General features: G+C 43.5%; 1 protein-coding gene across 6 annotated transcripts in view, besides 1 other annotated feature; it reads right to left on the reverse strand.

Moving 5' to 3' along the window:
- Positions 1-3,233: 3,233 nt before the first annotated feature.
- AGXT2 (alanine--glyoxylate aminotransferase 2) overlaps positions 3,234-15,652 on the reverse strand; it is a 49,848-nt gene continuing 37,429 nt past the window's right edge. For 5 of the 6 annotated variants that reach the window (NM_001438585.1, NM_001438583.1, NM_001438584.1 and 2 more), the window contains 3 exons: positions 15,132-15,281; positions 8,895-8,993; positions 3,234-3,958 (listed from right to left, as the gene is read on the reverse strand). In NM_001438585.1, the coding sequence (NP_001425514.1) occupies positions 3,851-3,958; positions 8,895-8,993; positions 15,132-15,281 (357 nt within the window). In that variant the 3' untranslated portion in view covers positions 3,234-3,850. The remainder of the gene's footprint in view (positions 3,959-8,894; positions 8,994-15,131; positions 15,282-15,652) is intronic. The other variant, NM_001306173.2, reaches the window with a different exon arrangement.
- Positions 8,539-8,588: an enhancer, noted in NCBI's record as "active region_22470". NCBI's record gives its function as "activates an Ori minimal core promoter by ATAC-STARR-seq in GM12878 lymphoblastoid cells {active_cell/tissue: GM12878}" and the evidence as "EXISTENCE:reporter gene assay evidence [ECO:0000049][PMID:35858748]".

The raw sequence follows: 15,652 nt of genomic DNA on the forward strand, positions 1-15,652 counted from the left end.
TAAGTTTGAGTTTCATTGTTTCCTCTTCATATTTTACTAAATTCATAAATTGTGTTTTCAGTGTTCTTCCCTTTTCCTTTATCTTAGAGGAAAAGGAATGTTGGAAGTAGAGGGCTCTGAAGAAGAACTGGAAAGTAAGTGTTGACTTTCTTGTTCAATCTCCTTGACCCTGTAATTTTCACTGGCAAAGAGAAGAACATTCCAGGCAGAGTGAACTACAGAAGCAAAGAACTAAGGTGCATGACATGGAAAGAATGGTGGAAATAAATCTCAAAAAGCTTGTTTGGAGACAAATTGTGAAGGCTCTGGAATGCCATAATAATTGGAGTTTGGACTTTGTTCTCTGGGCAATAGGAAACCCCAAATGCTTCAAGAGACAAGAGACATGATCATATTTATTTGTTAAGTAAAGGACTTTGGTATCAATGTAGAGGAAGGATGGGAAGAGGTCCAGGATACCAGTTAGAAGGCAGTTTAAATAGTTCAGGGAGATGATGGTCCAAATTAAGGCAGTTTTGGTATAAATGGGTCATACTGGAAAAAATTATGTCAGAGAAGGTATTCATGAGACTTAGTCATATAAAGGGCAGAAAGATAACTTGGGGGAAAAATGATCTAAATCATTATGAGCCTGAGATTAAAAGGGTACCATTAATAAAGAAGGGATTCTTGGAGGAGGTATTTAGTAGAGTTTGTGTTAAGTCTGTTGAATTTGAAGTGTTCCTGTGACATCTAAATGACAGAGTCCAGAGAGCTAGAATTTTGGGGTTAGAGCTCAGAAAAACGGTTGAGACTAGAGATAAATATTTGGAAGTCTTCAGCATAGTCAAGATAGGTGAAATTTCAGAAGTGGACAAGGTTGCCTATAGGGAGAGAGTATAGCATGGAAGAAGAGACAGCTCAGGACGGAACGTTATAGTTGAGGAGTTGCCAGAAAAGAGGCTGAGAAAGCCATCCGAGATAGAAGGACCACACTGCAGAAGCTAACGAAGGAAGTAGCAATTGTTCAGAAAGACCGTTTAAAGGAAACATTAAGTTTCGATTATAAAGAAGTCACCAGGTGCCTTCTGAAAAGGCATTTCCAAGGAATGAGAAACAGGAATGAAATCCTAGTGGTTGGGGCTTGGGTAGGAGGCAAAGACGTATAAGTGAGGCACAAAAACTGCTCTTGAGAAAGATTTTGTAGTGAAGGAAAGAGGAGAAATGTGGCTTGAAAGGAAGAAGTTTCTATTTCTCTAGGTCATTGGTTTGCAAAGCACTTTTACATCCACGGGGTCACTTTATTTCCAAGGCAACTCTGGAAGGTAGGAAGGGCAAATAGTTTATACTCTTGGGAACAAACCGAGGTTAAAAAGAAGTTAAAAGGCTGGCCCAAAGTCAATTATAGCAAATAAGGGGAAGAACTGGATTTAGAATTCAGGTCATTTGACTCTTATTCCAATGATCTTTCTACTGTGCCCAAACAGAACATTTCTAGAGTATTTGCTCTATTTGGATATTGGATACTAGGCAGCATTGAGCTCCTTGTTAAAGGGTTTTGACCTCGTCTGGGGTTAATGGCAAGCTGCTGGAAGGTTTTATGCCAGGGAATGCTATGTTTCAGTTAATGCTTAATGGAAACAAATCTGGCAGTGAGGTGTAGGATGTGTCAGCAGAACAGACACCTGGTGGTGGGGGGGTTAGAAAATGAGGACAATTAGCTTCAAACAGAAACACAACTTTTGATACGCATTCAATCACATGCTGAGAAAGTGATTTCCCTTCAGGTCTCCAGACCCTATTCTATTTGTATTCTTCAAGAGAAGGTCTCAGTTTGCCAGTGTATTTTTAACATGTTTCAAATACCCTCTCTCTCTCTTTTTTTTTTGAGACAGACCCAGGCTGGAGTGCAATGGCACGATCTCCGCTCACTGCAACCACCGCCTCCTTGTCCGCAAACAAGCTTTTTGAGCTTTGTTTCCACCATTCTTTCCATGTCATGCACCTTAGTTCTTTGCTTCTATAGTTCACTCTGCCTGGAATGTTCTTCTTCTCCTCTTTACTGGTGACAATTACAGGGTCAGGGACATTGAACAAGAAAGTCAATACTTACTTTCCAGTTCTTCTTCAGAGCCCTCTACTTCCAACATTCCTTTTCCTTTAAGATAACGGAAAAGGGAGGAACACTGAAAACACAATTTAGGAATTTAGTAAAATATGAAAAGGAAACAATAAAACTCAAACTTAAACCTCCCGAGTAGCTGGGATTACAGGTATGCGCCACCACACCTGGCTAATTTTTGTATTTGTAGTAGAGACAGGGTTTCACCACGTTGGCCAGGCTGGTCTTGAACTCCTGAGCTCAAGTGATCCGCCTGCCTTGACCTTCCAAAGTGCTGGGATTACAGGCATGAGCCACCTCACCTGGCATTTTGAGTACTCTCTAATCTCCCTTTTGAACAAAGAAAGAACAGGACTCAGGCTGAGAATCTTTGCAAAAACTTGCATCTTGCTAAAACTGAATTACATTGTTTTCTGTTCACTCTGTTTTTATGGTTACTTTCTACTTACGACAAGTAGGATTGATTTATCATTTATTGTAATTACAGAAAGTTTACTACACATCTTGGTAAAAAAAGTCAAATTGGCTGGCTGAGGTGGCTCACGCCTGTAATCCCAGCACTTTGGGAGGCCGAGGCAGGCAGATCACGAGGTCAGGAGATTGAGACCTTCCTGGCTCAATCTCTACAGTGAAACCCCATCTCTACTAAAAATACAAAAAATTAGCTGGGCGTGGTGGTGGGCACCTGTAGTCCCAACTACTAGGGAGGCTGAGGCAGGAGAATGGCCTGAACCCGGGAGGCAGAGCTTGCAGTGAGCTGAGATCGCACCACTGCACTCCAGCCTGGGCGACAGAGGGAGACTCCGTCTCAAAAAAAAAAAAAAAAAAAAAAAAGTCAAATTAAGGAAAAATAAACCTAAGACAAATGGTGTGCCTCTATGGAGAAATTATATAACTGTGTATTCTAATGACTAAAGTTTGGGAAATTATGGTCTTGGAGAGTATTGCAATAGGAGTAATAAGGGTTCAGACCACAGTGGGATGTGGTAGTAGGTAAGGACCAGAAAAGAAGGCTCTGACAGATGTTTTAAGGGAGTTAAAGGAGAGGGAACTTGTTCTTTCTTTGGGAGTATTTTCTGCCTCATTTCTCAGTATGCTTTTGACCGTAACAGTGAAAAATAAAAAAGCCTTATACAGAACAATGAATTTATTACCTCAAATATCAAGAGGCCCTGAGGTAGGGTGGCTCCAGGAATGCTTAAGTGAGTGCTTCTTTGACATCACTAAGCACTTGGCTTCCATCCATCTTCCAACCTCACCAAAAAGGGTTGTCCTCATGACTACAAGCCGGCTGACATGGTGCCAGGAATCTCGTCATGAACATATGGTGTTCTCAGCGCAACAAGAAGACATCTCTTCTTGAACTGAAGAGTGAGGGTGAAGAAAACTTTCCCTGAAGGCACCTCCACCAAAAGATTTTTCTTCAAGATTCACTGGACAAAAATACATCACATATTCATGCATAAACCAATCACTGCAAAGGGGAATCAAATTACCATACCTAACATAAACTAATTAGGATTTATTCTCTGAGCTAGGGAGATCCTTTCCCTGAAGAATGGAGTTCTCAAGATAAGAGGGGCTCTGCTAACAAATATGGTTGGTAGGCAGTCAACCATGACTTTTACAGCTCCTGTGGAGAGCTGCAGGCTTTCTCTGGATACCAGTGGTTCTGAAATTCTTCAAATTCACCCTTGAACATACGTGGCAAATTCTTGAGACTTGTGGTTTTATTTATTTCTGACAATGTTACTTAGCTCTTCTTTCCATGTGTTGGGTTAAGGCAGAACGAAATACTTCTACTGCAAAATCAACTTCTGGTTTAGTGATGCACATTGAGGGCGCAATGCGAAATGTCTGAGGAGACACCAAAAAATAAGAAAACAAATCATCAGAGAATCAAATATGACTTTGAGGAAATGCACTAAACTAAAAATCCAAAACCTTGTGTTTAGGATGTTTCTCATGTTTCTCTCAGTTTGGTTCCTCCTCCATCCCCAATGCTGAATCCAGGCCATTCACCCTCCAGTCTCCATACAAACCCTTGTACAATTTGGCTCTGCCCCTTTTCCTTTTTGTCATACATTTACCTCCTGGTCATTCTACACCTTCACTGAAGTCTTAGGCCCCTCGCTATACTCCATTTCTGCCCAGGGTGACTTCCATGTCCATATGTGCAACCCAGCAAACTCACTTCTCACTGCCCTTATTGCCACAACTCCCAGAATCTTTATGTCCACCCTTCTGCAACCATTCATACCCATGGCCAATGCCATGAGCCTCCTCTTCACCAGGAACAACTCAATTTCTGATTCCCACTACAGCTTTCCTTTTCATGAAGACTTCAGAATCCTCATTCACCCATTGTTTTCAGGTCTATTGCTCCACTCAGGTCTCCTCCTTCCTTTCTACCCAGCTCAGAACGCAGAGTTGAATGAAGTAGGCTCACACTTGCCCCTCATTTTGCTTGCATTTCTACCCTTTTTCTGCTGCACCCACACCACAGCCAATCCCAGCGCTAATGAAATATTTTATTGAATGGCTTTTTTCTAATCTAGATGGCTGAGAAGAGTTAGAGAAAAATCACACAGCTAGGCTGAGTGATGCCGCTAGATATTCAGGGTCTCCAACTTCTGTGGGTCACCCCAACTTTTCTTGTTCATTGTCAGCGTCCTTTCTCAATCTAAACCTTTATCATTCCTCTCAATTTCCTTACTCAACTCCTGCGCCTCTCCCTCTATTTCATAGACAATCATGCCTCATACTTCTCAGAAAATTGAAGCTGCCACGCAAGACAAACTTGTTTGCTCTCACATCCATTTTTATAAACTTTCCTAAAGGCTCAGAGAACAAGGTGTATTTGCTGTTCAACTCCAAATTGTCCACCTATGCCCTTGACCCTGGATTCTCCCATCTCCTTCACTCCAGGAAACGCCCCTTCAACTTCCCCTTAGCCTATAAACAAGCAGGCTTAAAGCTCTCATAACCCCAATCTAGACCACACCAAATACAAATCTTTGTTGACCCCCTTGTCCCCTATGGCTACCTCGCAAATGCTTTCTTCCTGCTTTTAGCCACATCACTAAAAAGACTGGTTGGTGCTTATTGGCCATTATTTATTACTTTGCCCTTCCCCCATTCACATCTCAATTGGTTGCAGTCTGACTTCTGCCTCATCAACCACTCTACTAAAGTTACCTGCAAGTGTGGAATCCACTGGTCATCTTCCAGCCCTCATTCTCTCTGGCCTTCTCTGCACTTGACTCTTTGGAATTCCCCCACTTCCTGAACCTCTCCTGTCTCTTTCTTCCATGACTTCACACTCTTCTTATTCTCTTCATACCTGTCCACGCTTTCTGCCTCTACCTGGGCAGCTTTTTCCTTCTCCTGCCTTTTATTATTATTACTGTTATTATTTTTATTTTATTTGAGACAGAGTCTCACTCTGTCGCTCAGGCTGGAGTGCAGTGGCACAATCTCGGCTCACTGCAACCTCCGCCTCCCAGGTTCACACAATTCTCCTGCCTCAGCCTCCTGAGTAGCAGGGATTACAGGTGTGTGCCACCACACTCAGCTAATTTTTTATATTTTTGGTAGAGACAGGGCTTCACTATGTTGGCTAGGCTGGTCTCAAACTCCTAACCTCAAGTGATCTGCCGCTTCGGCCTCCCAAAGTGCTGGGATCACAGGCGTGAGCCACCGTGCCCGGCCTCTCCTGCCCGTTAAAAGTCAGTGTTGTGCAGGTTTCTATCTTCATCTCACTGAGCTTCTCATCTAGACATTAGACTTCCTGGGAGATTTCCTCATCTCACTGTGTAAATGCTGATGACCTATAAAACATGATCTTCAGTCATTTCCTCCGAGCTACAGACTTCTACAGATGGTCCCTGACAGAATATTTTTGACTTTACAATGATGGGAAAGTGATACACATTAGTAGAAATTGTACATCAAGTATCTATACAACCTTTCTGTTTTTCAGTTTCAGTACAGTAGTCAATAAATTACATGAGATACTCAACACTTTATTATAAAATAGGCTTTGTCACATGACTTTGCTCAACTGTAGGCTAATGCAAGTGTTCTGAGCACATTTAAGGTATGCTGGCTAAGCTATGATGTACAGTTGGTTAGGTGTATTAACTGCATTTTTGACTTAAAATATTCTCAATTTAGGAGGGGTTTATCAGGAGGTAACCCCACTATAAGTCAAGAAGCATCTGTAGATAGAGTGAGATGTTTATGAACACCTTGAATGGAGCATGCTCAAAGCTGGACTCATTCTTGCCCACTCCAAACCAACATGAGAGCTTCTTCCTCGACTCTCTCTGGTTCTTCATATCCACAGTCTGTGCATTTTCCAGGATTATCCTCAGAATATCTCCTCTATCTCTACTACCACAGCTCAGGTTCAAACAGCCTCCTTGGCTCCCAGAGGGACCCCCTGTCTCCAGTCTTGTCCCCTTAGATTTGTCTTCCTCAGAGGACAGATTCTGAAATCAGACTACCTGAGTTTGGATCCTGGTTCTGTCATTACTTAACCTCTCTGTGTGTCTTTTCCTTTATCTGTAAAATAAGGATAGTAATAGTACTTATTTTATAGGCTTGTTGGGAGCATTAAATGAGTCAGTTCATGCAAAGTGTTAGGACAGTGCCTGACAAGCAGGAAGGGCTTCATACCAGCTCCACTGACTACTCAAGCCTTTGCACCAGCCACATCTGTGTGGTGTGATGTGGTGTGCAAAATTAGTTCTTTGTACTCTGCCACATTTCATGCACAGTTTGGTTGTTTATCTCATTATTTAAGATTCTGCTACCCAGAAAGCCTGGCCTAGAAGTCCCTTCTCTTTCCCCCTTGAATATCTTTTAAAAAATATTTATAGATGAGCTTACTACATTATATTGTAATTTTCTATGTATTTGCCTTTCTCTCCCACCAGCTCCACGAAGGAAGGACCAGATCTTATTTATCACCGTATTAGGTTGGTGCAAAAGTAATTGCAGTTTTTGCAATTAAAAAAAATCACAAAAACTGCAATTACTTTTACAGCAACCTAATAGTTTCAGTTTCCAGAATGACACCTGTTGCTTAGCACATAACAAATTTTGCCAAATAACAAAGGAAGAGCTAAGCAAGTACACAAGTATCTCATGTCTTTATAAATTGCATGTCTTACGATTCATAATCATTAAATTATGTTATCTGGTTTGTACAGAAAAATATTTATGACCTGGACTAGAAAAAAAATCACAGAGCACATCCCAGCAAAAGTGCTCATTCTGGCTTTGTTGTTTGGGCTGGGAGAACTTTAAGTCTGTTTTGTTTAAAGGGGAAGGGGAAGTTGGGGAAAAATTGAAGATGCAAGAAAACATGGGGGTTTCCTTGAGTGAAGGTGGAGGGAGCTTGGAGAAACAAGCACACAGATGGAAGATCTAGATTTGAAAAGGAGAAATGCCTCATTTCTGGAACCTTCAGGGAAGGAAGTGCTATGATCTGGACATTTGTGCCTCTACCCCTTGAATTCCTATGTTGGAACCCTAACTCCCAAGGTGATGGTCTTGTGAAGTGGAGCCTTTGGGAAGTGATTAGCTCAGGAGGGCAAAGCCCATGAAGGCCCAGGGAGCTCTCTTGCCCCTTCTGCAATGTGAGGTCACAGCAGAAAGATGGCCGCTTAGAAAGAGCGCCCTCACCAGACACTGAACTTGCTGGCACCTTGATCTTGGACTTCTCTGCCTCCAGAACTATGAGAAATGAACTTCTATGATGTATAAGCCACCCAGGCTATGGCGCTTTGTGATAGCAGGCTGGGGGGGGGGACTAACACGGGAGGAAAGAATAAATGCGGGGACCGATGAGTTTATATAGAGGTTTTGCCTGATAGTTTCAATTTTATCTGAGAAGTATGAGGCAAGAAGCAGATATTTCAGTATCCACTGAAGTTGTGAGAGGCAGGGATGGAGCAGGGAAACTGGGAAGGATGAGGAATGTTTAAAATGGGAAAGAAAGTTAACAAAGGACAGGACAAATTAGGGAGGAGCAGAAGTTACCTTCTCTCTTAAGTCTCCACCCTGTAGCCCATCCCTGGGGAGAGGCTGTTGCTGTGAGGGGCAGCCTCTCGGGCAGTGTGTGCAGGGCAAGCCAGGGTCCTGACTGTGGAGCTGGGCATGGCTTTTCAAGGAAGGGAGTGGGGAGGGCTCGACCTCTGAATCTCCCAGCCTAAGGGTGAAGGACACTGGCTCTGGCTGATTTTGAGTTTGGCAATGGGGGCTATGCCCAGGTGGTCCTCCATCTCTCCGACAGGCGTCACCCGGGCCTGCAGGTGCTGTCGTGTTGCTCCCAGCCACAGAGGCCACTAAGGCTTAGCAGGGTCACCAAGTCAGAGCCCTGGGCTGAGCTAAGAACGGCCAGAATTGCTTTCACAGGGGTTAGAATTAATTATACAGGAGATAGATTATTTACTGCATGACTGTGATGTTTATCATCCATACTGTTAGTTGTCCGCTTTGACCATCCTCTGTCTGCCTCTATCTTTACCCCAAAGAGCCGCGACAACCAAACCATTTTCACTCAGCGCCCCCTAGTGGCCTGAGAGCTGCACTGTCTCCGCCTTTTTTTTTTTTGTACCCGAGCTTCATCCCTAGATGACATGTGGCTGGGTACCTCGGCACAGTTGTGTAAAAACTGCAACCAGCATTAGGACATCTTCACAGCTGTGAAGAAACTGTGACCAGCATTAGGAAATCAGAGAGACTCCTACCTAGAGCGATAGGTAAAAACCAGTCTTTCTCTTACCTGAGAAAAAATGCTGCCTCTGCCAACGAGGAGTCCCATGTGCTTGCAGTCCTCATGGATCTGATTTACTTCTTCACGGGGAAGAGGCCGACAGCTTATCTGTAAATATATTTTTAAAATTCTTTCTATTTGGTGTTGGAATGGTTAAAGGAATTATTTGCAAGAGAGGAAAAAAGAAAAACCCTTCAGCCATCAATGCCCCTCTTTTTTTTCTCTCTCCCTCTTTCTCTCTGTCCTCTCCTTCCCCTGTAATTAAATGAAGCTGCTAATTGCTGAACCAGATTTTTGGAGGATGTTATTTAAAATGTTTGTTTCTAATCCGAATTCATCCCAAATTCCCAAAAGACAAAATGAAGTTCTGTGCGGATAGCCAGTGAATCTTAGCTTTGCTAATGGCTGCCTTGGGAGTCTGGTTCCTTAATAGCTAAATTTGGAGTCTGTTTTATGTGGAAATTTTCCTTAACTCTTCACTTTGTTCTGCCCATGGAAAGGGCTCATTTCAAAGGCCAGGAAATGGCTCAGAAGTTGTACAAAGGCACCAGCAGCCTGAGCTTTCCCTGGGCAGCGCAGTGGGACAGCTGAGGAGGGGCCGGTTTGTCCTAATTTCCCTGCTTGTAGGACTTGCTCTTTCTCCCCCAAGACTGCATCCTCCAGGGTTAGGAAAGGTAAGTGCTCCAGGAGCCGAGAGCCTGTGTCAGATCCCCAGCCATTCAGAGCAGGTCCCCTCCCTGTGGGGTCAGACATTGGGCTGACTTGCATCCTTTCTGTGCGTCCCCTGTCTTCCCAGTCTGTGAGTACAAACGTCTCCCTCTGACTTAGTCATGTCACACCTGACAGCATGTCTGCATTACCTGGAAGGCTTTCAAATGACAGATATTTGGGCCTCATGCTAGGCCAATCAAATTAGAATATTGGAAGCAGGGCTTAGGCATCTGCATTTTTAAAATGGTCCTCAGGTGACCGGGCTAAGCGAGCTAAGTGAGGTAGACGGGGCCCCTCTAGTGTGCCCAGTTTCATTACATCCTCCACACTTCCTACCCACCCTCAGTCTGGGCTTTGCCATCCACTTCCTTCTTCCCACCAACCCCAGATCCAACTCTTTCCCCAATCCTCCATTTCTTGTAAGGTGTCATTGTCTGAGAACAGAATAAGATGGGACCTCCTAGAGAGATATGTGCATTTTGTTCTGTCTTAAAGCCTTAACATAAGCAAAATACATATTCAAACTTTCAGACTATTGGATCAGAAAGGACCTGAGGGAGAGGGAAGGACTAGAATCCTCTCATTGACTTCAAAATGCTATCATGCATTCCACTTACGACTGATTGGAAAGAGACAATGAAAATAATTTAGGGCTAAACTGTGAGAACTAGAAGGGCATTAAATATGATTTGAGAGGCCAGAGGGATTGGAGAGTAATCCGGAGGGAAGGTTGGGTTGGGGGGGTCAGTTCTTTTGTTGTTGTTGTTGTTGTTTTGTTTTCTGAGTCAGAGTCTCACTCTGTTGCCCAGGCTGCAGTGCAGTGGTGCAATCTTGGCTCACTGCAACCTCTGCCTCCTGGGCTCAAGTGATTCGCCTGCCTCAGCCTCCCCACTAGCTGGGATTACAGGCACCTGCCACCACACCTGGCTAATTTTTGTATTTTTAGTAGAGATGGGGTTTCACTATGTTGGCCAGGCTGGTCTCGAACTCCTGACCTCAAGTGATCCACCTCAGCCTCCCAAAGTGCTGGGATTACAGGTGTGAGCCACCGTGCCTGGCCCAACAGGACAGTTTTGAATGGGTGGAGTCTGTGTGGCTTCACCCCGACCTTGCTCTGGGCCAGCACCCTCTTGGCTCCCTTGCCCATTTTATCCCTCCCTGACCTCAACTGCTATGGCTAATTGAACATCTTGTATGCCATCCTCAGGGAAAAAAAGCAGGGTCTGAAACTCTGCTGAGGCTTAAGCCACAGCGCAGCCTGCCGAGGCCCTTGTGCCCATGCCTGTGCCCCAACTGCTTGATAATGAAGTGGGCATGCTAGTAATTAAACTTCTTGATGAATGTATAATGGACCATCGTGTTTATCTCTTTTGGTGAATCTATGTTTAAAGAATTATAAATTTAAAATTTGAAAAAAATTCAAATGTTCTGGAAGTGCATAAAGTAAAACGAGAACATTTCCCCACTTCCTATCCTATTCCTAGGGACACCTTCTATTGACAATTTGGTGTGAAACAGATACTTTTTCTATGCATGCAAATACATCTATATGCATGTTTTAAAAAATAAGTCATTTAATAACGTTTGGCAATTTCCTTTTAATAATATATGGTATATCTTGGGCATCTTTCCATGTCAGTATATTTGGACTTAGTCTTCTTAAACGTTACCTAGTATTTCATTGCAGTAAGTTGTTCAACCTCCTAATGTTGAGCATTTAGGTTGTTTCCAATTTTTCATGATTATAAACAATGCTGCAAATATTCCTATTCATACATATTTTTAGACAGTTTTGAGGGTATTTCTTTGGGACACACTTCTAGAAATTGCCAGGTATGTTAGGCCATTCTTGTGTTGCTGCAAAGGAATACCTGAGACTGGGTAATTTATAAAGAAAAGAGGTTTAATTGGCTCACAGTTCTACAGGCTGTACAAGCATGGCTCCAGCACCCGCTTCTAGTGAGGGGCTCAGGAACCTTACAATCATGGCAGAAGGCAAAGGGTGAGCAGATGGGTCGTGTGGGGAGAGCAGGAGCAAGAGAGGGAGTTAGGGAGGTGCCATACATTTTTAAACAACCAGATCTCAGATGAAGTCACTCGTCACCAAGCCATTGATGAGGAATCCGCCCCCATGATCCAAATACCTCCTACTGGCTCCACCTCCAACACTGGGGATTACATTTCAACATGAGATTTGGAGGGACAAACATTCAAACCATGTCACCAGGTCAAAATGTATAGATATTTAAAATTTTGAGAGCTGCAGACAAATTACTGTCCAAAGGGCTGTACCTCCTTACCAACAGAATATGAGAGTACCTATCCTGGGTGATGCTGGACAGCATTATAGCAAAGTTCTTGGGTATTATAACTATGCGACTGTGGTTTGATGTGTTGCAGGGGCCTGAAATTAATTGAGAAACACAAAGCACTTACCATCTGTATGTTTCCTGGCCTCAAAAGTGTAAACTTATTTAGGAAAATAAGGTATTTATACATAAAAGGTGAGTCAACAAATACAGGTTAGGTGACACAGAGTGAATGTTTGTGTCCCTCAAAATTCATATATTGAAACCTAATACCCAAGGGGATGGCATAATATTGGGAGGTGGGGCCTTTGAGAGGTGATTAGGTTACAAGAGTGGAACCCTCATGAATGAGATCAGTACCCTCATAAAAGAGGCTCCAGAAAGCTCTTTTGCCTCATTTACTAGGTGAGGGCACAGCAAGAAGGCACCATCTATGAACCAGAAAGTGGGCCCTCGTCAGACACCAAGTTGGCCTGCACCTTGTTCTTGGACTTTCCAGTCTCCAGAACCATGAGGAATACATTTCTGTTGTTTATAAGATATCCAATCTATAGAACTTTGCTATAGCAGCCTGAATGGACTAATATAGTGGAAAAGATCTTTTCAAAGCAGCTCCTTAGACAGTGAGTACCAGAGGAATTCTCTGAAGGGTGGATCTCCTGGATAGAGGAGAAGCAAAGGCAAGCTTTAAGGAGATGCGATGGAGAGCTTGATCTTGAAAAAGACTAGGATTTCCATAGGTAGATATAGAGGGGAGAATACTGTGTTCCATGGTTGAGGAAAAGCTTGAGTGGCATTTGGATTTGGAGAGTAATTGCATTGAGGGGACAGTGAGTAGAATTAGGGGATGTAGGAGCTGGGATTTAAATCCAGGTGGTCTGCCCTTAGAGCCCATGCTTATACTAACAAATGGTTCAGCGAAGAGAAAAAGAGCCCCTTCTATAGATACTATTTTATAACCTTGCTATAGTTTGGATATTTGGCCCTCCAAACCTCAAATGGAAGTTTGATCCCCAATGTTGGAGGTGGGTCCTAAAAAGAGGTGCTTGGGTGGTGGGGGCAGATCCCTCATGAATGTCTTGGTGCTGTCCTCTCCATGATGAGTTGTCACTCCATTAGTTCCTTCTAGAGCTGGCTGTTGAAAACAGCCTGGCACCTACCAACCCCTAATCTCTTGCTTTCTCTCTCTCTCTCTCTCCCTCATCAGTGACCTCTGCATATGCCAGCGCCTCTTCCCCTTCCACCACGAACAGAAGCAGTCTGAGGCCCTCATCAGATGCAGATGCTGGTGTCATGCTTCCTGTATGGTCTGCAGAACCATGAGCCAAATAAACCTCTTTTCTTGATAAATTGCCCAGCCTCAGGTATTCCTTTACAGCAACACAAATGGACTAAAAAAACCTGTTTCATTGTTTCCACAATATGGCTTGCACATATTTCCATGTCAAATATATATCTATGCCATTATAGTGGGGATATGCCACAAGCTAGCTTGCTTTGTATGAACGGTCATCTGGGAGGGGGATTCTGGTGTTTTACTAAGACAAAGTTGTGATGAACATCTTTGTTCATATGACTTTGAGCACACAGAGGTTGGGTTCAGAACAGAGAAAAAGGAAGAACTCCTCCTCTCTCATTGGGCTTTCCTCTCTCAAGTCTACACTTTGAGGAGTATAGATAACTTTCAGGGAACCCCTTGGGTGGAGATTAGGATGAACTCTTCTGAACGTTACAACAACTCTTGTACTTGTCCACACACTGAAATACGTTATGACTTGTGAGCTCTTCTCCATTGTAGAATGCATGTTGGGGTCAAAACAAATAAATAAATAAAATTATGAGCTGGGGACCTTAGTCTCATATTACCCTTTGTTTATTTTACTGGTGTCTTCCCTTGGCTTTCAAATCTTACTTAAACATCCCAGCTTTGTACTGGCTGTGACATGTGGTATGAATTGAAGAGTCTTATACCATGTCTGGTCTAAAAAATTGAGCATCAATCCTTCTAAAGTAGAATGGTGGTAAAACCAAAGAGGTAGAAATTGCTAGGGAAAGCTGGATCCCTGTAGACATGAGGTTAGTCTGGCTATTCCTCCCTACTCCCAAGATTCTCCTGCTCTTTTCAGGCTTTGATTTTATGGAGGAAAGGCACAATTTCCTACAGGCATTTACTATAGGGGCTGCAGTAGAAACAAAGGGAAAGATTTGAGAGACATGGGAGAGAAGAGATATCAATGAGTCCTGTTGTTAGAAACAAGGGAAGAGGAGGAGTCAGATGATTTTGTGCTATTGAGGCTGAGTAATTGGGAGAACGGTGGAGTGTGAGAAACAAACAGTGATCTTGGGAGAAATATCTGGTTTGGGGGAAGATGCTAAGTTCAATTGCTGTTATGATGAGTTAGAGGTCTCAGTGGGCAACATTCCTCCCTGGTTACTTGGGAGGTTGAAATCCATTCACAAGTAACAACATTCCTCCCTGGTTACTTGGGAGGTTGAAATCCATTCACAAGTAAGCATGCAAACAAACAAAACTCAATATAGGCCAGGCTTGGTGGCTCATGCCTGTAATCTTAGTACTTCAGGAGGCCACGGTGGGCAGATAACTTGAGGTAAGGAGTTTGAGACCAGCCTGGGCAATATGGCAAAACCCCATTTCTACTAAAAATACAAAAATTAGCCAGGTATGGTGGTGTGTGCCTGTAATCCCAGCTACCCGGGAGGCTGAGGCTCGAGAATAGCTTGAACCTGTAAGGTGGAGGTTGCAGTGAGCCAAGATCGTACCACTGCACTCCCAGCCTGGGTGACAGAGTGAGACTCTGTCTCAACAACAACAACTCCTAATATATATTTAACCTCCTCACCCCAAACCTTCACCATAACATTTTCCTGGCCCTTCTTTCTTATTCCTTCTGTTTCTCCCCAGATAATTTCCTCCCTTCCCTGTATTTCTAAGTATTCGGTCATTGCCTATGCTATTTGCCTAGGATGGCAAGGATAATGTTGGTTTCTTTTCCCAGTGCTCTCCCTCATCCCTCTAGAATTCTTGATGATCTGCCAGCATTTTGTTCATACTCAACACTCTCTACTAATCTCTAAAGGGCTTTGCTGAAATCTTGCTGTTTGTGTCTGCTCTCTCCTTGAGAGTAAATGAAGTTTAGCTGATGTTTCCTCCTATATCTCCTGCTGGCTCCAAGCAGCTGAGAGAGAGGGGCAGATTAGCACCTACCTTATCCTGCACCATTTCTATGCCTATCATGAGACCTTTGCCTCGGACGTCTCCAACAATTTCAAATTCATCCCGCAGCTTAGCAAACTTTAGTAACATGTAGGTCCCAACTTCTTGACTGTTTTCCTGTAGATTTTCTTCTTTAATCACCTGTTAAGAGAAAGCCCCAAATGATCTTACATGGCAGAAGTTCTAAGATTGACTGAGAATCGTGGAGAAGTCATTTGACATGGCCCTCTTGTAACTTAACCAAACAGAATGCAGAACAAGTCTAGTGTGACCACAAGGACTACAAAAAGATCTGTTGTAAGGAGAGAAGAAAAGTCTTAGGGGAGGGGATATGCTTCTGCCCCCAACTCCCTCACCTTCAGAGGTGGCTAAGTATTTAGGAAATAATAGGCCAGGCATGGTGGCTCACACCTGTAATCCCAGCACTTTGGGAGGCCAAGATGGGTGGATCACAAGGTCAGGAGTTCGGGACCAGCCTGGCCAATAGGGTGAAACCCCGTCTCTACTTTAAA

The sequence above is a fragment of the Homo sapiens genome, chromosome 5 (assembly GCF_000001405.40).
Source record: "Homo sapiens chromosome 5, GRCh38.p14 Primary Assembly".
In the NCBI taxonomy this organism is placed as follows: domain Eukaryota; kingdom Metazoa; phylum Chordata; class Mammalia; order Primates; family Hominidae; genus Homo; species Homo sapiens.